Source organism: Homo sapiens, chromosome 17, assembly GCF_000001405.40.
Source record: "Homo sapiens chromosome 17, GRCh38.p14 Primary Assembly".
NCBI lineage: Eukaryota > Metazoa > Chordata > Mammalia > Primates > Hominidae > Homo > Homo sapiens.
The window spans coordinates 33,707,748-33,728,704 of NC_000017.11; the positions used below are offsets into that span (position 1 = coordinate 33,707,748).

At 44.2% G+C, this 20,957-nt stretch overlaps 1 protein-coding gene and 1 long non-coding RNA gene across 2 annotated transcripts in view; one reads left to right on the plus strand and one right to left on the minus strand.

The window, feature by feature from the left end:
* The window catches only part of ASIC2 (acid sensing ion channel subunit 2), a 1,143,682-nt gene that overhangs the window by 694,661 nt on the left and 428,064 nt on the right, over positions 1-20,957 (minus strand). The window lies entirely within an intron of this gene.
* On the plus strand, positions 795-20,016 carry LOC124903984 (uncharacterized). The gene is made up of 2 exons (XR_007065720.1): positions 795-857; positions 17,196-20,016. It is a non-coding gene; the product is annotated as an uncharacterized LOC124903984 (long non-coding RNA).

Here is a 20,957-nt window from a genome sequence, read left to right on the forward strand (position 1 = left end):
GGTATCTTTTCGCATTTAAAAGTGAAGCATTGCAGAGATAAGCAGCTTCATGGGCATGCACCTGACTTCCATTAGGATGCTCCTGCAGGCATGGAGCCATTTTTTTAAAGGACGATCAACTGACACTATCTGTAAGACTCTTCTCTCTGTTGGGTCAGCTTGACTACCCTCCAATCTTCTGTAAAGGGCTAGAGGACTTCTATTCCTAATTCCCAGTTTTCAGCACAGTAATCTGCACCTCCCACTCTGCCCAAGCTGTGCAGGGTATTCTTGAGTTATAAGTTCCTCTGGGTCAACTTCTTCAGAGAGCAAACCTCCAGTCTCCTGCTAGATAGGGGAGGGAGAGCTGTCTGGTTGCCTAAGGTAAAGAAGGGAATGTGGGGGTCTAATTATTTCTTTTATGGAGTTTCAACCAATTCTTTACTTTTAAGCTCCATCCACACCTTAATTTTTGAAGACATCTATTGCCTTAAATTCTAAAGTGTTTACAGAGTTCCAGAATGGAAATTGGTTGGCTTCTTGTTTTACCCACCCAGCAACCTTATGGGCATTTTATTTTGGCTTTCTTTGCTATGCAAAGTTAAATTTTAGTTATCCATCTGTCTTCTAACATCCAAAGTTATCTTGATATTTCTCTGTTTTTTTTCCTTCTTGATCTTCGTCTTCATAAGCGCATGCTTTTAACAAAATCTTTTTACATTCATTTTAGTGGGATCTTGGAGCAGAACAGGATAAAACACCTAAGTTCTATTGACCACATTTTACAAGAGCCTGTCTCCTTCTTTCTTCTCTTCCAGCTCTGAAGCCAAGATCTCCTCCTCTGAATTTGTGGCTGCAAAACTTCTTTCCAAGTGCAGGTATGTGGCTACTACCTCTGTTCTCTATGGGATGAGGTTTCTCTGCTCCATGTCCAGTAGGGAAAAGAGGAGCCTCATCCAGCCCCAGCGTACCCCACTCCAACGTCACCACTCTGCACCAACCATCTCCTCCCCTTTCCTCTCCCAAATCACAATCTCCTTGGCTATCTTGGTCATAGAGACTCCTCTCCTCCTTCTCTTCAAGATCTCAATGATCCTTTACCCAACTCTGACTCCCTTCCTCGCACAAGCAGGAGCCCTGTTTCAAAAATTTCTGGTTGGACTTATTGCCAATCACACCTTAATTTTAATGTCTGATGTTTTATTTTTGGCTTGCTGCCTTGAGCCTCAGTCAGTTTTCTAAAATGAGGAAAAGAAGGTATAATTACCAACTATTCTGGGTCAAGATATATCCTGCCATCAACAGAACCTTTAAGCCGTCTGCCTGTTTTTTGAACAACACATTCAATACTCTGTAAAAGGTAAACCCTACATCTTTCTGGGTCTCCATGGAATCCATCCTGAACTTGCCTTAAGTCATAACTCTGTAACGCCGTAATCTTTCCAGCATCTATTTCAACTGCCTGTTTCCCTCATTTCCAGTTTTTCCTCATAGTCTTCTTGAAATTAAAGACAAAGTGTTATATGCCTCCTGCAGTGGGCTCAATAATGCCCTCCTCCCACAGAAGATATCCATGTCTGAATCCCCAGAAACTGTGAATGTTACCTTATATGGCAGAAGGAACTTTTCAGATGTGTTAAAAATCTTTAGATGGAGAGATAATCTCGGATTATTCATTCAGATGAACCTAATGTACTCACAGGTGGCCTTTCTAAGAAGAGGTCAGAGAGTTGGCTCATGCTCTTTCTGCCACATGAGATTACAGTGAAAGTCAGCAGACTGCAACCCAGAACAGGGCCCTCACTCATGTGGCACTGTGATCTCAGGCTTCCAGCCTCCAGACTGAGAAGTAAATTTCTGTTGTGTAGAAGGTACCAATCTATGGTACCTTGTTGCAGCAGCTAGAACTGACTAGGACAGTTGTGTTCATGTCTTGATTCCTGGCCCAAACAATTTCTTAAAATAAAAGATGATCAGTTAAGGGATTTAATTTGCAGTAGCTTTTGCATTGGGGGAAATGGATAATATAATGGGTATAAAGAACCCTTAATATGCAGAGAGACAGAACAAGTTCAAGCCACTTACTTTGTGCTTTTAAACAAACCACTTAACATTTTTAAGCACCTATTCCTTTATCTGTACCATGTTGATTCTCTATTTGGACATTTCCAGTGACATGGATGCTCAAGTCTTTATGGGCAACCCTTATTATCACGGCAGTATTTATACCCCCTTCTTTCTTTTTGCATTGACCTTGTTATCTTTGTTCCACTTCCCTAACATCTGTCTCCACACATGCCATGAATTAATTATCTCTGCCTCCAAGCTCCATAGGTTGATGGAGCAGAAAGGAGATGAGATTTCTCCTCATGGGTCTGCATGGATCCTGAGATCTGATGTCTGCACCAATGTCCATCCCTCTCTAACCACATTATGTCACTGCCAACGGCAAGCCATGTGGCAAGAGAGACACAACTGCCTAGTCTGTTTCCCTAGAAAGCACAATTCCCACCACAGGTAAAGAAGCTCCATTTATCCATTCATCCATCTAGTCACTCTTTTATTCAACAAATAGTTACTGACCATCTATTATGCGTCAAGCAGTCAGTTAGATCCCACACACACAAAGAAAAATAAGACAAAAGCCAATCTTTGAAGTGCCGCAGGGAGCTGACTGGATAATGGAGGAAACAGGTCCGGAAATCCACAACCACTCTGTAGGAGCTATGATCAACAGAAGTGTGCCTAGGTTGTGGCACCTGTGGACGTGGGTCAGGTCTGCAATCTGGTGAGGTCATGGGAGGCTTCCCAGAGGAGATAATGCCAGAGTTTTCAAGAATGAGAAGAAATAAGGCTCATAAATTTACTTTTACTTTGTTTCTGGACTTTCTGATTCTTTTAATAGGGAATGGTAAAATACGATTGGTGAAGAGGCCCTTAAAGATTATATAAACTAATCATCTGATTTTACAAATATGAAAACTGAGGGAGAAGAAAGGTTGTGGTGTATCCAAGCATATTGGTAGGGAAGCTTGAGGAAATCGTACTAGAGCAGTTTGGGTCCTTGTGGCAGGAGTTATCATGTTATAAGGCTTTTTCCCGGGTCACTGAATTTACCTAGAGGTTAGTTGAAGCCTGCAGGCCCTGGGTTATAAATAAGATGACGCTATTTTGTTAAAAAGCAGTAGTTTGAGTGGGGGCACAGTGCTGGCTTTTTATTTTTAATTTTAATTTTTTTGAGACAGGGTCTTGCTCTGTTATCCAGGCTGTCTGTCATACAGGGACATGATCATGGCTCACTGCAGCCTCCAACTCCTGGTCTCAAGCGATCCTCCCACCTCAGCCTCCCAAAGTGCTGAGATTACAGGTGTGAGCCAACACAGTACAGTGCTGGTTTGAACCCTTAGAGTGGCGTTGTGTTTGGGTAACACAATTTGAAGGTGCAGCGGGGCACCTGTGCCTCTGCTGCACTGCAGCCCAGCCTGGAGCCCATTCTTTCTTCAGGAACACCTGGCAAAGCAAGGTGTTCCAACCCGTGTTGGTCTGTGATGTGCTGTTCAACCTGCTGAAATGTCCCTTTTCTCTCCCAGTACTCATCATGGATACGTGAGCTTCTCCTGAACTCCCTCTCCCACCAATCTTGATGCATTTGCCACAGTTATACCCACCTGGGTGAGAGTCAAGGAGCCTCATCCTCCTCCATATGCGGTCAAAGGGTGGCGGGGCTGGGAGCAATGAATCTCATTTTTGTTTTCCCTGGGTCTGGTCAGTCTGTGCTTGTATTACTCTGTTCTCACACTGCTATAAAGAACCACCTGAAACTGAGTAATTTATAAAGAAAAGAGGTTTAATTGACTCACAGTTCTACATGGCTCAGGGGGCCTCAGGAAATTTACAATCGTGGCGGAAGGTGAAGGGAAAGCAAGCACGTCTTATCACGGAAAAGCTGAAGAGAGAGAGAGTGAAGGGGGAAATGCCACTTTTAAACCATCAGATCTTATGAGAACTCACTCACTGTCAAGAGAACAGCAAGGGGGAAATCTGCCCCCAAAATCCAATCACCTCCCACCAGGCCCCTTCCCTGATAGGCTGGAATTACAATTCAACATGAGATTTGGGTGGGGACACAAAATCAAATCATATCAGTCCTCTTTGTGTGAGAACCTTCTGTAAGTTTCATCTTCAGAACCAGGAAATTAGTCTCTGACTTTTCTAAAACCCCAAGGTCCCTGGGGTGATAAATGACAGCTAATTTCATAAATGAGGCCTCCTGACTCAATCCAATCATCATCCCCCTTTTCTCCATACCTCCCATGATGTAACAGTAGATGGAGAAAGGAATTCCCAAGAGTGAATATAGGAAAACCTTTGGAGAAGTTACTGAGTCTAAAACAGTCTGTAAGGAGCTAATCCCTGTCTTCTTTCAGGGGAGTTTCACTGAACCACTTGACCTCCAGGGATGACTGCCTACAGTCTCAGTTTGGAGCAGCTGCCTTCTGTGCAGGCAATGGGAATGGGCACATAATGTAGAGGCTTGATGTTTGCAAGACGCTGTAGCTTTTCTAAGTCACTGTTCTGGCCCCACAGCACACAACACACACTGAGCCACAAGAGGGCTCCAGCACAGGCTCCCTGTAATCTTTGTTCCCAAGCATCTGCTTTGACCTACTGTTTGCATCTGTTAGTTATTTATTGCTGCATAACAATTTGCCCCCCAAAACTTGATGGCTTAAAGCAAAGGATGTACTATTTCACAGTTTCTGTGGGTAAAGAATTCGGGCCTGATTTAGCAGGTCTTCTGCCTCTGGGGTCTCCCATGTTGCAACCAAGGTGATGGCTGGAACTGTAGTCATCTCAAGGCTCAACTGCATGTGAGGGTGGAGCTTTGCTTCCAAGCTTACTCATATGGCTTTTTTTTTTTTTTTTTTTTTTTTTTTGAGACGGAGTCTTGCTCTGTCGCCCAGGCTGGAGTGCAGTGGCGGGATCTCGGCTCACTGCAAGCTCCGCCTCCCGGGTTCACGCCATTCTCCTGCCTCAGCCTCCCAAGTAGCTGGGACTACAGGCGCCCGCCACTACGCCCGGCTAATTTTTTGTATTTTTAGTAGAGACGGGGTTTCACCGTTTTAGCCGGGATGGTCTCGATCTCCTGACCTCGTGATCCGCCCGCCTCGGCCTCCCAAAGTGCTGGGATTACAGGCGTGAGCCACCGCGCCCGGCCCTCATATGGCTTTTGGCAGGATTCAGATCCTTGTCTGAAGACCTTCTTCAGTTCCTTGCCATAGTATGATATAATGCTATCAGCTATCAGAGCAAGTGAAGGGCAAGAAAGAGCCAGCCAGATGGAATTCGGTTTTTATGACCTGATCTTGGAAATGACACACTGTCATGCTTGCGCTATTTATTAGGAACAGGTCACTAGGACCAGCCCACATAAGAGGAGAGGAGATTACATAAGTTGTGAATACCAGGAGGCTGGTTTCTGGGGGCCATCTTGGAAGGCTGCTGTATTAATTTCCTAGGGTTTGCCATATGACAAACTGGGTGGCTTAAAACAACAGAAATGTATTCTCTCACAGTTCTGGAGGCTAAAAGTCCAAAACTGAAGTTTCAACAGGATCACCCTCTTTCTGAAGGCTAGAGGGGAGGGTCCTTCTTTGCCTCTTCCTAACATCTGGTGGTTGCAGCAATCTTTGGTAATCTGTGCAGCTGCACAAGTTCAATCTCTTCTCCATCATCATGTGGTATTCTCTCTGTACGTCTCCGTCCTCACATGGTATTCTCCTCTTTGTGAGTGTGTGTCTCTTTGTCCAAATGTCCCTCTCCTTGTAAGGACACCAATCATATTGAATTCAGGACCCACTCTAATTCAGTATGATTTTATCTTAACTTGATTACATCTGCAGACCCCATTTCTAAATAGTCACATTCACAGTTTCCAGGTAGACGTGAATTTGAGGGCAATGCTATTCAACGCAGTATAGCTGCAGACTGGTGCCCCTTGGCAAATCAGTGCAGGTTTAGGATCATCCTAACCCAATGCTGATCCAGGGATTTTTAATAGCAAAGTAGTTAATGCATTTGTCTCCTGTAATCCCCTGGGATCTGGACAATATTTCTGTTGATAACAAGGCTTTGAGGGATTTAGCAGCTAAGGCAAAGACATCAAAGCAAACTAGTTATGTCTTTTTGATCTTAAAGTCAATTATTTTCAGTCCCCTTTCTCTTTCAATACACCTGAACCTGTGACACATTTCCTTACAAGATTGTGTCTCACTAAAGTAGAGCTTCTCAAGTGGGGGGTGGGCATGGCTTCTTGGTGGGGAGAAGTGGCTGGTATCAAAGTAAATAAAAATTTCTGGATGGGTGCATGTTGTTTGAATATAACTCTTACATTGACTGCTTCACCCCACTCCCCATGAGGTGATATTTGGTAATATGTAAAACAATTTAAAATGAACACCCTCACTAAACCATCAATTCACAGCAATTTCACCCGTACATATACAGTACACTTAAGGTACTCAATCAGTCCTAGAGAAACTTACATAAAAGCATGCAATGAAGCATGTAAAAGAACGTTCATTGCAACATTCATTGTGTGTAATGACAAAATTTGGAAGCAACACAAATATCCTTCAGTAGTGGAATGGCTAACTAAATGGTGGTATGTTCCTAAAATGGAATATTATACAGCAATTAAACAGACTAGATCTCTATGAATGCATAAAAATAGATCTTGAAAACCATGCTGAGTGAAAAAAAGCAAATTGCAAAACACTACATACTGAATGGTGCCATTTGTGTTAAATAAAAACACACCAAACAATACTATATTATGTTTATGGACATGTATATGTGGCAGTAAAAGTTTAAAAACCATGAACAGGAAGGAAATCACCCAAGTTCATGGATCTCGATTGCCTTTAGGCTTTGGAGGGAGAACAATGAGACTGAAGGGGAGAACAAGGAGGATTTCGACTTTGCCTGTTTCTCTTACTCATATCTTTTTAGAAACCTAAAACAAAACAACCAAATGTTGTTGTTTCACTGGTATTTGTTATATTACGTGATTCTGTGACCTTTTTTTTTTTTTTTTTTTGATTTTTGAGACAGGGTCTCACTCTGTAGCTCAGGTTGGAGAGCAGTGGCACAATCATAGTTCACTGCTGTAGCCTTGAATTTCTGGCCTCCAGCAATCCTCCCACCTCAGCCTCCTGAGCAGCTGGGACTACAGGCTCATGCCACCATGCCAGGCTAATTTATTATTATTATTATTATTATTATTATTTTGAGTCAGGGTTCTCTCTCTGTCACTTTGTCTGAAGTGCAGTGGCAGGATCACAGCTCACTACAACCTCAAAGTCCTCGGCTCAAGTGATCCTCTTGCCTCAGCCTCCTGAGTAACCAGGACTATAGGAAGATGCTGCTGCACTTGACTAATTTTAAATTTTTTTTAATAGAGACAGGGTCTCACTGCGTTGCCCAGGCTGGTCTCCAACTTCTGGCCTCAAGCGATCCTCGCACCTCAGCCTCACAAAATGCTAGGATTACAAGCATCAGCCACTGTGCATAGCCCATTTTTAAACTTTTAAAAATAAGAAAGTAGAATGGAAATAAGGCCCTGATTTGTAATGACTAAATTCCCATGGGAACGTGGCTTGCTGGAGTTGTAAATCACCACTTGTGTGCCCATGGGCAGGATTAGGATGCCCTGGCCGCTGAGACAAGCACAAAGAGGATGGACAGAGCTGTGTGGAGCAAAGCACACATCCTAGTTTTAATTGAGTTGTAGAATCCCCCAGATATTCATTGTTAGACCACTCACTAAATTTCTACTGTGGCATTGTAATGGCAGAACATCCTTAGATCTGGAGCAAGAGGGAAGGAGTGGCCTGAATTCCTGATATCTTTCTCATTCTGGTTTACATGAAGGCTGTCCGAATCTCAGTCACTGTTTTTGGATTTCTGTGAGATGTCACTATCCCCTTCCAATGGCATCTTTTCCATCTCTTTCAGCAATCAGTTCTAGGGGATAACATCTCCCTGTAGTCAAAATGGCCATGTCCAAAATAAGATCATGTCCCTAGAGGTCAGTGTCAGGAGAAGAGCCAAACCACATTGATAAAATTGTAGAGACGTCATGTAGATACAGAGAGAAAGTGGCGTGGAGGGCCTAGAATTCAACATGCTCCACCTGAACTCACAAACTCCTCTAATCACACCGCCAACAGCTTGATCGCTTAATCCAGAAATCCCAGAATCATGATTAACATCTCCTCCTCCATTGCCACATAGAGTTAATCAATTGATCACTAAATGCTACCCAATCTCCCTTCTCAACACCTATCAAAGCCACCCATTTGTCTTCATCTCTCTTGCTCTCCTCACAGTCCAGGAATCCAAGCCTAGACAACTTATTTAGCCTGCAGGAACAGCCTTCTAACTGGTTCATCCTGACACCCCACTGTTTTCAATGTCATCTCCATAATAGCCAGAGTGATCTTTCACAAACAAATCTGATCATGTCCCTCCATTCCTTAAAACCTTCAATGATTTCTTTGGATCTTACGGATAAAGACTCAAATCTTCAGTGGCTTATGATGTCCTCCCTGATGATCCTTGACTACCTCTTCACCTCTATCACTGTGTTCCATTCACACTGTAACTGATACACCTCTTTGGAAGGGCCTGCAATGGAGAGGACATCTTGCTAAGCACTTGATCCTGCACTCTGAGGCTAGGCACTGAGAGTTGGGCTCAAAGTGGGAGCTATTTCCAAACTCAGGCTTTAATTACTTATCGTTGGACTTGAAATGGACTTACTGTCATCAACTCTCCGTCTTTGCCACCCTTCAAGATCCAGCTCAAATGCCATCTCCTAAAGAGGCCTCCCATGACTGCATCTCCTGCCCTCGACACACACACTCAGAATTGTTCTCTATATGTCTGTTTGAATATCATTTTATAGATTCTTCTCCTCATGCCATCTGTCTGTCATGACTGCATCTCCTGCCCTCAACACACACTCAGAATGATTATCTATATGTCTGTGTTTGAATATCATTGTATGGATTCTTCTCCTCAAGCTATCTGTCTATCTTTCCTTCTGCAACTATGAGGGCAGGAATGATGCCTCGCTCTGACTCTCTAACCTAACAAGGCACTTCAATATAGCATGTGCTCAATAAAGATGAATGGAGTTTAATAGCATTGATGGGCTGGAAATAGATGCAGTGTGTGAAGGAATGAAGGCTTATTAAAGATGCTGGGCTCTCCAACTTTCTAAAGAAGATCTGTGGCTCACCTTTAAATTCCTCTAAACTTAACAACCTCTGCCAGCTATTTCCCTGGAATCATTTGGACAGACGCACTACTAATGATGATTTAAAGTGAGACTTTGATGTCAGCACCTCATTCACACTTCAAAAAATATGTATTCAGAGGCACACAAAAAGGGTGTAATTACCATTTCAGGAAAATATGTTAATTTGATGCAATGCATTACTGCTCTGACAGCTTTCAGCTTTTGCACAAAATGGTTGTAAAATGGATATTACTGGAAAAAAATAGTTTTCTTCCCGCTCAAAATATAGGTAGAGAGCAAAGGCAAATAGAGTGAGGGCCCTCTGTGGAGTTGGGCAAGGGGAACAAACTGTTAGCACATGGTCTGACTATTAGCTGGCAAGGGTGCAGGTGCTGATAACATTTCTGGTGTGGAGGTGCCTGTCTGGGCCTCCTCACTCACCAAGAGTGTCAAAAATCCTATTTAAAGTGGGAGCGATGGGAGGTCATAATGCTGGCTCTACTCTGGAAAGACCCAACTGTCCGGTCCAGGCTGGAGCTGGGGTTCTCTGTTTGGATTCCTGGGGCTGCCATGACGCCTGGCTTCCTCTGACAGAGAGCTCCCTTTATGGACGCATGAGATGTTGCTTCCAACCCCTGCTAAGAGAGAAGAGCCACCCCCTGCCCAAGCCCCAGTGAGCTGCCCAACAGTCCTCTCTGAGCTGAGAGGGCATTGGATCTCCCTGTAACTCAGGGGCCTCCTCTCTAGGATGTGGGTAATTTCTCCTACCTCGAAGGGATGGCGTGAGAGTTAAATGAGGGCAATGGATATAAAAGCTGAGCTTAGTACAGATACTTAATAAATGGTAGATCTTCTTACAGTTATTATTACATTATCATTTTATTATCGTAGGGAGTAAGCTGATTAAAAATAATTATCAAAAGGAGTGTTGAAGTGACCCAGACCTTAAGAAACCCAGAGTGTGAAGCTGTTTCTACCATTTCAGAAGGGGTTTCTACAGCTGTCCCTCAGCATGTACCAGGGATTGTTTCCAGGACACCCCTCTCCCTGTGCCAAAATCTGCGAATGCTCAAGTCCCTTATATAAAATGGTATAGGATTCGCACATAACCTACACACATGCTCCTGTATGCTTTAAATCATCTCTAGTTTACTTAGCCCTAATACAATGTAAATGCTATGTAAATGGTTGTTAGACTGTAATTTAAGCATTTTTTATTGTTGTATTTTTTCCGAATATTTCTGATCCAAGGTTAGTTGAATCGACAGGTATATTAAGATGAGCTAGTTGAACCCGTGGATACAGAGGCTGACTGGATTTACAGAAAGGGTGTTTTACATATGCACCTGTCTAGGCCAATAGGTGGAGAGTGGAAGGGGCCAGAGAGAACTCAAGAGAGGCGATGGCTCTCCCTCATCTGCCAGGTGTCTCGGTGATCTGAAAGTGTGAGAAGATGCCCTTGTAGTAGGTCCTGCCTCCCACACCCCAACAATTTCAGGATGTGTGCAAATTCCTGCTCCACTCCCACATGGTGCAGAGATGGAGGACAGGGGTGACTTAGATTAAATCAACTAGAAATGTCCTTGCGAGCAGACACCTGTTTTTGCTCCCACCTTCCTAACATGCCTCCGCAGAGAGAAGGGGCAAAGAAAGCCTTGGGACTCCTGTTCTATCCCCAAAGAGGTGGGAGGTGGGGGAGGAGGAAACAGTGGGAGAACACTGGTGTCTGCTAGGCAAATGCGACACTCAGGGCTCAGTTCCCCTCTCTTTTCCTGCCTTGTGGAAGCATATACTGGGGAAGTCAGCTAGCAGCTTGCAGGTGGTAAGAGGGGTCAGTGACAGCCAGAAGCAGGGATGCCCAGGCATGCTACCAGCAGCCCATAGCTTCCATTACAAAGATCTGGGTCATCAACCAAAACCTGGAGGAAGACCCTTGTCAGGCACTGGTCCAAGGCCAAGCTTGCTCAGGGTCACCCAGGACAGAGCCCTTGTTGTTCAGCAGTGCAAAGCCTTGACTCCCTGGCTGCCCGGGGGATAGGCTGAGTCCACCAATGGGAACCTGCTACACAGGGTGGGAGGAGCCCTTAATTTTCACACAGTATTGCCACCAGAGAGGAAATCAGACCCTTGTCTGGGTGGGAGGGAACAAGGCAGGATGATGGATTGGCCCTCATGCCTTCAGTTCGCATCTGAAATATTAGGGTCAAGGGACTTGCGCATGGAGGAGAGCATAGGAAATAAACCAGAGAGGGCTTGGTGACCAGGAGTGCAAGGGAGAGCCTGGTGAGCCAGGACCCAGGAGACTCAGGAGGGACCTGATTCAGCGCTGCCCTGCAGGTGTCCTGTGCAACCTGCTCCATACCCTTGATCTCCTACCCAGCTGCATGGCTGCTGCTAGCGCACAGAGCTACTGCCTGAAGATTAGAAGGAGTGCACCTTCTCAAGGTGCCTACTTTGCATCTGTCAGGAACTTGTCTTAATATACTCACTTTGTTGGAATAAGATGTTTTGCTGCCATCTGCTAGAAACATTGTCATAATAGATACACACAAGTAAGATGTCAGCAACGTGAGAGGTGGCCTTGTACAGCGCAAACATCACAGTTGGGCATGGAGCCTTCAGTACCCTTTGAAGTTGGATTTAGCTAGAGGCTGCAATAAGGCACTGAGTCTTGCCTTGAGTTGGGTGTGAGGCAAGAAGATTGGCTTCTCAAATGAGCTGGCGGTTTGTGCAGGGCTGGGGAGCTTCAGTGCTATTGCCCTTCCTATCCCAAATTCCAAACTTATCCCTTCAAAGGAGTTTGGCCGCACAGCGAGAATGAATGTGTGTCATCCAGGCAGGCCAAGGGAAACTTTTAAATTTTTTTAGAAACAAGAGTGTCACTCTGTCACCCAGGCTGGAGTGTAGTGGTGCAATCTCGGCTCACTGAAGCTTCAAAACTTCTGGGCTCAAGTGATACTCTTGCCTCAGCCCCTGAGTATCGGGGAATACAGGTGTGCACTTCATGCCTGGTTAGTTTTTTAAAAAATATTTAGTAGAGATGAAGTCTTATTATCTTGCCAAGGTCTCAAACTCCTGGCCTCAAGGGATCCTCCAAGCTCAGCCTCCCAAAGCATTAGAATTATAGGTGTGAGCCACCAAGCCTGCCAAGGGAGACTTTTAGAAAGAGAAGGCTTGCCCAGCCTGGTTTGTATTGTTAATGTTATTTAAAGAATCTAAAGAAAGTAAGTGGGATCTCCAGAAGCAGAATTAAGAAGGCAGGAGGCTTTGAGTTTTCTTTGATGCCTATAAACATGGTTACAAAGCAACAATCAATTTCTTTCTCCCTACAGTTTCCAAATACTTTAATATTCACCATATCATTTTATTCACAGACTACTTCTCTGTAAAAGGCAGAGTGGGTATGATCCTTATTTTGCAAAGGAAGAAATTGCAAGGCAACGTTTTAAGTGACTTAAGGCATGTACTGACTCAGAGATTCATGAACATATGTCTTGATTTACTATATAAAGGGTTCAGTTCTAGTAACTTGAGGAATGGGGCATACCACAAGTACTCAAGAGTAGCCTACTGAATGAAAAAATAAAGAAACATAAATGAATGGACAGAGTTGTTAGGTGATAGCATTGTTGAGGTAACTAGACTGGCCAGGTTGACCTCATTTGGGATAACTTAGGTGTTACTGCGGTTCAATAAACATCCAACACAGACCAACACAGAAATAATGCTTGTGACTCCAGCTATAATCTAAGAGGAAAGGTAAGAGATGGGAGATCACGGAGTAATGCACTTGCTTGGATCGTTGTCTGTAATTCATCATACTGCAGAAAGGGAAGGTGTTTTAGAGTCCATCAAAGTCTGATCCAGTCAGCCTTTGGTGAGGCCTTGGACTAATTATTTCATCCCTCTGGATCTTAGTTGACCCAACTGTGAAATGGAGCAAATACTGTCTGTTTTAGCAATCCATATAAAACTCTAAGTGCATTGTCCTGGAAAATAACAAAAATGAAGCAATGAAAACATTCATTGCTATTCCTCTACTCCTTAGAACATAGTTAAAGGCATTATTCAGCCCAGCCATTTCTCAGTGGAAGACAATGGTGGTCCCCTGGTGTTGTGTGGAACTCAAGAAATGAGAAGAGCAAATAACTTGTTGCACAGTCTCTGCACAACCTGACCCCATCTCTTGGTCTCTGTTTCCTGAATTCATTCATTCATTCATTCAGGAATTTGGGGATTCATTCATTCATGCTTTCATTCATTGCGCTCACCAGGATTTCAATTCTCCTCTCTTTCCAAGCATGCACCATTTGAAGGCATGACCATCTGCCTTGCCTTGAACAATGAAATATGATCAGAGATGATGTGTGTGACTTCTGAGTGAGATAATTCAACAGTCACTGCTCTGTTCTCCATGTTCTCTTCCCCTGCCTAAGCAAACCCCCAGGTCTGTGCTTGAGAAGGTGGCCTCATAAAATGATGGCTCCTCTGCCAACCTGGGTCCCTGAGTAATTACAATGAACAGAACTCCCCTTCCAGCCCACATTAGACAAAGAGCAGGACCGAGAAATAAACCTTTAACATTTTAAACACTGATCCTCCTGTCTCAGCCTCCTGAGTATCTGGATTACAGGCATGTGCCACTGGGCCCAGGAGAGGAAATCTATTTTGGATGCAATGGTTAGAGAAGACCCTTTGAGAAGATGCTATTTGAATAGAGGCCTGGATGAAGTAAGAGGGTAAGCCATCCAGATATCTGGGTTAGGAACATTCCAGAGAGAGGAAAGAGTGAACACAAAGTGCTAAGGTCAGCTCATGCTTGGCATGTGGCAGGAGCTGCAAGAAGGCCAGTGTGGCTGGGTCAAAGTGAGTGACAAGGCGAGAGATGAAGGCACATCAAAAGACATGGCTGAGAAAGTGAAGAAGCAAACCACAGCACCAGAAGGAAACATTTATCATCATATCTAACAAAGAACTCATATTCAGAATATAGAAAGAACTACACATCAGTAAGTGATATGGTTTGGCTCTGTGTCCCGACCCAAATCTCACCTCGCATTGTAATAATCCACATGTGTCTGTGAAAGGACCCAGTGGGAGGTAATTGAATCATGGGGGTGGGATTTTCCCATGCTGTTCTCATGGTAGTGAATAAGTGTCACGAGATCTCATGCTTTTAAAAAGGGGAGTTCCTCTACACAAGCTCTCTTGGCTGCCACCATGTAAGATGTGACTTGGCTCCTCATTTGCTTTCTGCCATGATTGTGAGGCCTCCCCAGCCATATGGAACTGTGAGTCAATTAAACCTCTTTCCTTTATAAATTACCCAGTCTCAGGTATGTCCTTATTAGCAGCGTGAGAATAGACTAATACAATAAGAAAAAGACAAACAACTTAAAGTTTAAAAATGGGCAAAAGATTTCCGCAAGTAATTTATAGAAAAAGATATCCAGGCTGGGTGTGGTGTGGCCCATGCCTATAGTCCCAGTATTTTGGGAGGTCAAGGTGGGAGGACTGCTTGAAGCCAGGAGTTAGAGACCTGAGCAACATAGTAAGAGCCTCTCTCTACAAAAAAGGAAAAAAAAAAAAAATTAGCCAGGCCTGGTGGCACATACATAGATACTTGGGAGGCTGACACAGGAGGATCCTCTAAGCCCAGGAGTTCAAGGCTGCAGTGAGCTATGATTGTGCCATTGCACTGCAGCCGGGGTAACAGGGTGAGACCCTGTCTCTAATAAAACAACAATGGCAACAAAAAAAAGATATCCAAAGCACCAATAAGCCAATGAAAAAGAAGTGTTCAATCTTACTACTCCTCAGGAAAGTAAAATTTTGAACCAAAATGTGATACCACTATAAACTCCAAGAATGGTTAAAAAGGCTGAAAAATAGCAAATATTCACAAGAACATGAAGCCAATGAAACTTTCATCTTTTGCCAGGAGGTGAGTAAAACCACACTGGAAAACTGGCAATTCTAACAAAGGTAAAAATCTGCCAATTTTATTAAGCAGAAATTCCATTCCTAAGGATACACCCAGGAGGAATGGGGAGAAAAATGCACATAGCCCAAAGCTGAATACTGAATACAAGACAAATGGCCATCAACAGAAAAATACATAAATCGATTGTGGTCTAGTCATACAATAAAATAAAATACCTCACAGCAATAGAAAAGAACAAAGTATTGATATAAGAAGGTGAAGCTCAAAAACTATATTGAATGAAAGAATCCAAACACATGGATGATTTCATTCCAAACACTCTATGATTCCATTTATTTACTTTTTAAAATATTATATTATATTTTATTTTTTGATACAGAGTCTTGCTCTGTCACCCAGGCTGGAGTATAGCTGTGTGATCTCTGCTCACTGCAACCTCCTCTTCCCAGGTTCAAGAGATTCTTATGCCTCAGCCTCCCCAGAAGCTGGGATTACAGGTGTATGCCACCATGTCTGGCTAATTTTTGCATTTCTATTAGAGATATGGTTTCACCCTGTTGGCCAGGCTTGTCTCGAACTCCTGGCCTCAAGTGATTTTCCTGCCTCGGCATCCCAAAGTGCTGGGATTACAGGCATATGCCACTGCACCCAGCCCTATGATTCCATTTAAATTAAGGTTAAAAACAGGCAGAATGAATCCACAGAGATTAAAGTCAGAGTAATGGTGACCTCAGGTGGAGGTAGGCATTATCTGGGAAGGGACATAAGAGAGCTTTGTGGATGATGGACGTATTCTGTTCTTTGTTCTGGATGGTGGTTCTCTGAATGCTTACCAAGATGCAACCCTATCAAGCAGTACACTTAAGATTCATGCATTTTAATGTGTGTAAATTGTACCTCAGTTGAAAAGAACAACAAAAATAAAGAATTTTCCTGGCAGAGGAGCTTGAAATCATGCAGGACTTTACAGGAATAGTCAGTGATGTGGTTTGGCTGTGTTCCCACCCAAATTGCATCTTGAATTGTAGCTCCCACAATTCCCATGTGTCATGGGAGGGACTCAGTGGGAGATAATTGAATCATGGGGGTGGGTCTTTCCCGTGCTGTTCTCATGATAGTGAATAAGTCTCACGAGATCTGATGGTTTTATAAAGAGGAAATCCCTTTCACTCGGTTCTCATTCTCTCTCTTGCCGGCTGCCATATAAGACATGACTTTCATTTTCCACCATGATTACGAGGCCTCCCCAGCCACGAGGAACTGTGAATCCATTAAACCTCTTTTTCTTTATGAATCACCCAGCCTTGGGTATGTCTTTATCAGCAGCATCAAAACAGACTAATAGAGTCAGGATTTTAGATTTCTTTCTAAAAAAGATGAGAAGCCCATAAGCAGGCTCAGAATCATTGGAAAGTTCTGAGCCGACTTACGTCTGGAAAGAATGATTTTGTCTGCTGCGTGAAGAGTAGACATTGGTGAGATCCAAGTAGATCGGGTAAAGGGTGTAAGTGGAAGACCTGGGAGAGCTGAAGGTGACTGAGTCCAGATGTGAAGGAGCGGAGGAGGGATGCTGTGTAAATGCTGGAAGTGGAGAAGATGGGATGCCAGGACAATTGGGAATGAGGAGCCTAAGGGAGGGGCTTTGGCCTGTGCACTTGGCAGAATGCAGCAGCCAATTACTGGGATGGGAAAGACCAAAGGAGCAGCAGTTTGGGAAGTAGTGGGGAGAAATCAAGAATTTGGTTTTGAACAGGTAAGTTTGATGCCCATTAAACACCCAATGAAATGTTCAAGAGGTGGTTGACTAATTGAGTTTGTATTAATAAATAGCATGCATCAATACCCTCAACCCCCAACACATACACACACACACACACATACACACTCACACATTGGCTCCTTCCCGTTCATTTTTTTCTTAAAAAAGGGAAAAACAAATCTGAAAAATGCCTTTCATCTATTTTGCAGTAAGGGCCCTCGCTAGAAGTTACTGAACTGAACATGCAGCTGCTGGTCTGGAAGCCACAGCCGAGATCTGAAAGGCAGGTTGGCAGCTTGCACTTGTCGGGACGCCCCTTCTGGATCCTCGCTCTGCCCTCTGTCACGGGCTCAGCACACGTGGGGCATCCCCCTGTGGTGCCCTCTGCTTCAGCAGCTCTCAAGGCAGCTCTGCTCCCCACAGCCTCTCACTGGGGGACCCAGCGGGGCCTGCAGGTGGATGACTGTCAGGACAAGTAGCCTCTGTGTCCTGTGTTGAATAAACACATCATTAGAGAGCTGGGGAAAATACGTGGAGGGAAGGGAAAATGTCATTTTGGTAAAGGGCTCAGCTTAAAGGAAGAAAAGCCATAATGACAACATTAAATATTTAGGTCTCAGGCCTATCAGGAGGTTTTCTGTAGGGCAGGGACTTAGTCCGAGTTGTCCACTCACGGGGAGGCAGGCAGGGCAGCCTGCAGTGATGGGCGTTAGGGTCAGAAGGGCCTGATTGTCCGTCCCAGCTCTATTACTTGGTTAAGTATGGTCTTTCAGAAGTTAATTCCAGCTTGTAAGACTCAGTGCCTGCATTTTAAAATAGACTTAGGAATAAGTTAGAAGAGGTCAAGATCACGTGAAATACAATGGCACCTTCCATGATCCGTGGGCTATTGCAAACACTTATAGGATCCTACATTCTTCTCTCTTCTTACCCCATCCCAAGTTTCCTCAGCATATGGATGCAATTGCATCGCATTACTATTAAGAAACCCCCCCCCCCTTTTTTTATGCTTTTGCTGTTAGTTTCTTAACTCAGAACCCTGGCGACCTCGCCCCACTCTGAGAATTCCGAGGGATTCCAAAGTGGGTCTCTTGTGGCTCACAAACCGCTGTAGCACAACCTTCTGCACTGACCCCACAGAGCCACACGAGGGCAGCACATCACCAGTGTTGCCGCTTCCTGGTCCAGGAGCCGACTCTGGAATACCCCAGGGTGCATTCTTATGGGGTTCCCAATTGGACCACCTGTGTGATGCCAGGAGACTGTGTGGCATGCAAAGATGGCCTCCACTGAGCTGCATCTCTCAAGACTCTCACCTTTCCACATGGAAGGCAGACTGGCCCTGGACAGAAGGTAGAGTTTGCACCATTTCACGGCTTTCCATTTGAATTTTGTGCTCTTTGGGACCCTAGGCTACCATGTCAGAAAACTGCCAAAGCTTCTGGAGAGATCACGTGAAAAAGCCTCGAAACTTAGAGAGGAAGAGAAAGAGATAGACACCCAGGGGTCCTAGCATCCCAGTTGAGCCTCTAGGTGTCTCCAGCCCCAGTTGCCATCTGACCACACCTGTATGAGAGATTGGAGCAAAACCAGCAGAAGAACTGCCCCGCTGAACCCAGTCAGCTCATAGAACCATGAGAGACGATAAAATGATAGCTGTTTTAATGCAGCAATAGAGAACTGAAGCAGGTAGTTTGTGTTTCCTTGCATGTTCAGCTTGAAATGTCTCTGCAGTCCATGAAGGAGTGGGGAGAAAGCCCCATTTTTACAGCACCACAAGGCAGCCTGCACCCCTCCTTCCCTGTCTCAGGCTTTGATAAGTTTCATGAAGCCAGGCTAGGGAGCAGTGACAGACACAGACTCTAGGCTCTCTGCCTTTCCGCATTTCCTCAAGATTCCTCTCAAAATATCTGTTCCTTCTCCCTCAGCTGAAAAACCCTGAGACAATTTAACACTGGCAGTCTGGTCCACCCATTCCTTAGGCATCCTGGGATAACCTCAAGCTAGGACTCCCTGCTTTGATTAAAAGATTAAATGAGAGAAATCCAAATGTGAAGTTATTTGTTCTTTGTTAAAATTATTTGGAAAGGTGTGACCTCCTTCTGATCTGATTATAGACACCTCAGGGCAGAAAGAAGGTTCAGAGATACTTGGTCTTGCAGCCATCCTCAAATGTACCAAAAATTTTTGGTAGAATAAGTAAATATTACATCTTGCTTGCCTGCCTGCTAATTGGAAAATTAGTATAAATATTCTAAATCATAACATGCAAATTTATCTAAAAGAATCACTGAATCTCCTAGAAGGTTTTGGTCATTACACATTCTTTCAAACAATGAATACCAAAACCAACTACAGAGGTGAGCCTGTAATATACTTTGTACTCCTAAATGGAACTCTACTCAAAAATAGGGGAAACTCTTGATCTAGTCTAACTCTTATTTTATTAATGAAGAAACTATAGCTAAAAAAAGAAGAAATGGCTCACAAGAGGTTGGAGATTTTCCAGGAAAGTTCCAAGTTGAAATTTCTCAGCCTTGAAGATGGCAACACAGGATCCCATGTCTATATGCAGGAACTTCCAAGACACAAAGTATGCCTTTAAAATCTCAGTTTTACAACAACAGCTATCAGCAGAAAGAAGTATAAATGGTCCGATTTTTTTAAAGTGTTCAATTTGCAGGGTGATATGGCTTGGATCTGTGTCCCTGCCCAAACCTCATGTCAAATTGTCATCCCCAATGTTGGAGGTGGGGCCTGGTGATTGGATCATGGGGGCAGATTTCCCCCTCCTTGCTGTGATGGTGAGTGAGTGCTCACAAGAACTGGTTCTTTAAAAGTGTGTAGCACCTTCCCCATCTCTCTCTCTTGTTCCTGCTCTGGCCATGGAAGATGAGCCTGCTTCCCCCACACCTTCTACCATGACTGCAAGTTTCCTGAGGCCTTCCCAGAAGCCAACGGATGGCCAGTATCATGCTTCCTTTACTGTCTGCAGAACGATCAGCCAAATAAACTTCTTTTCTTCATAAATTACCGAGTGTCAGGTATTTTTTTATAGCAATGTAAGAGTGGGCTAATTGACAGGGGCTTTCTCACCTTTGGAGAAGGAAACTTCTTCAAGATAAGGTACATGTCACTGTTCTGTGGGTCTTTCATCCTTTGTTCATATTGTCTATCCACCAACAAATACTTACTGAGCATCTTCTTTTCTTGGGCACCTTTGGGTTTAAAGCCTTTGCCCTCCAAGGGCCTACAAGCTAGTTAGGGAGATGGTGGGTACAACTAAATGCAGCAGGAGATGTGCTGTGGTAGAGGCAGCACATGCTCTGCCTGGATTCCCTCCCATCCCCATTGCCAATTCTGCACCTCAAGTCCCTCCTGCAGACTTTGCTCCTGCTGGCCCACATCTGCGACTTTCTTCTGAAGACTCCAAGAGGGCTACTGGAGACACCAAAAGAAGAGCCGCCACACAGAGACCCAAGTCCCTGTAAGTTCATGTGGCTCCAGGGGCCCAAAGCCAATGGTGGGTTTGGCTCTAGCTGGGACACGTTCTACAGCATAAGGGACCTCCAGACCTCACCACAGACTCAGGCTGAGGCTGAGAGTTCCCCTAAAATTGTACCCTGATTTGGCTTTCCCCCCTACCCTATCCTGCTCTTTTAATGGTCAGCTTCTGTGATCTTGTTTTAACAGGGCAAAGATAAAGCACAACTTATGGGACCCCTAGCTCTCTCTTACCAGGTAATGTACTATTTTGGACAACATCATTTCCTCCCTTACAGTTATTTATCGGTCTGACCTTTCCTTAGAGACCTTATCACAGAAAGAAATTGGTTTTCTCTGGGCATACCTGTAATTTAAACTCTGGATTCATAGCCTGTGATGGGTTCTGTTTGACAGAGTACTGGGTCTATCTAACTATTGAGGGTCTGAGGACCCAGGAAATGTCACCAAAGTGAATCAGGGGAATA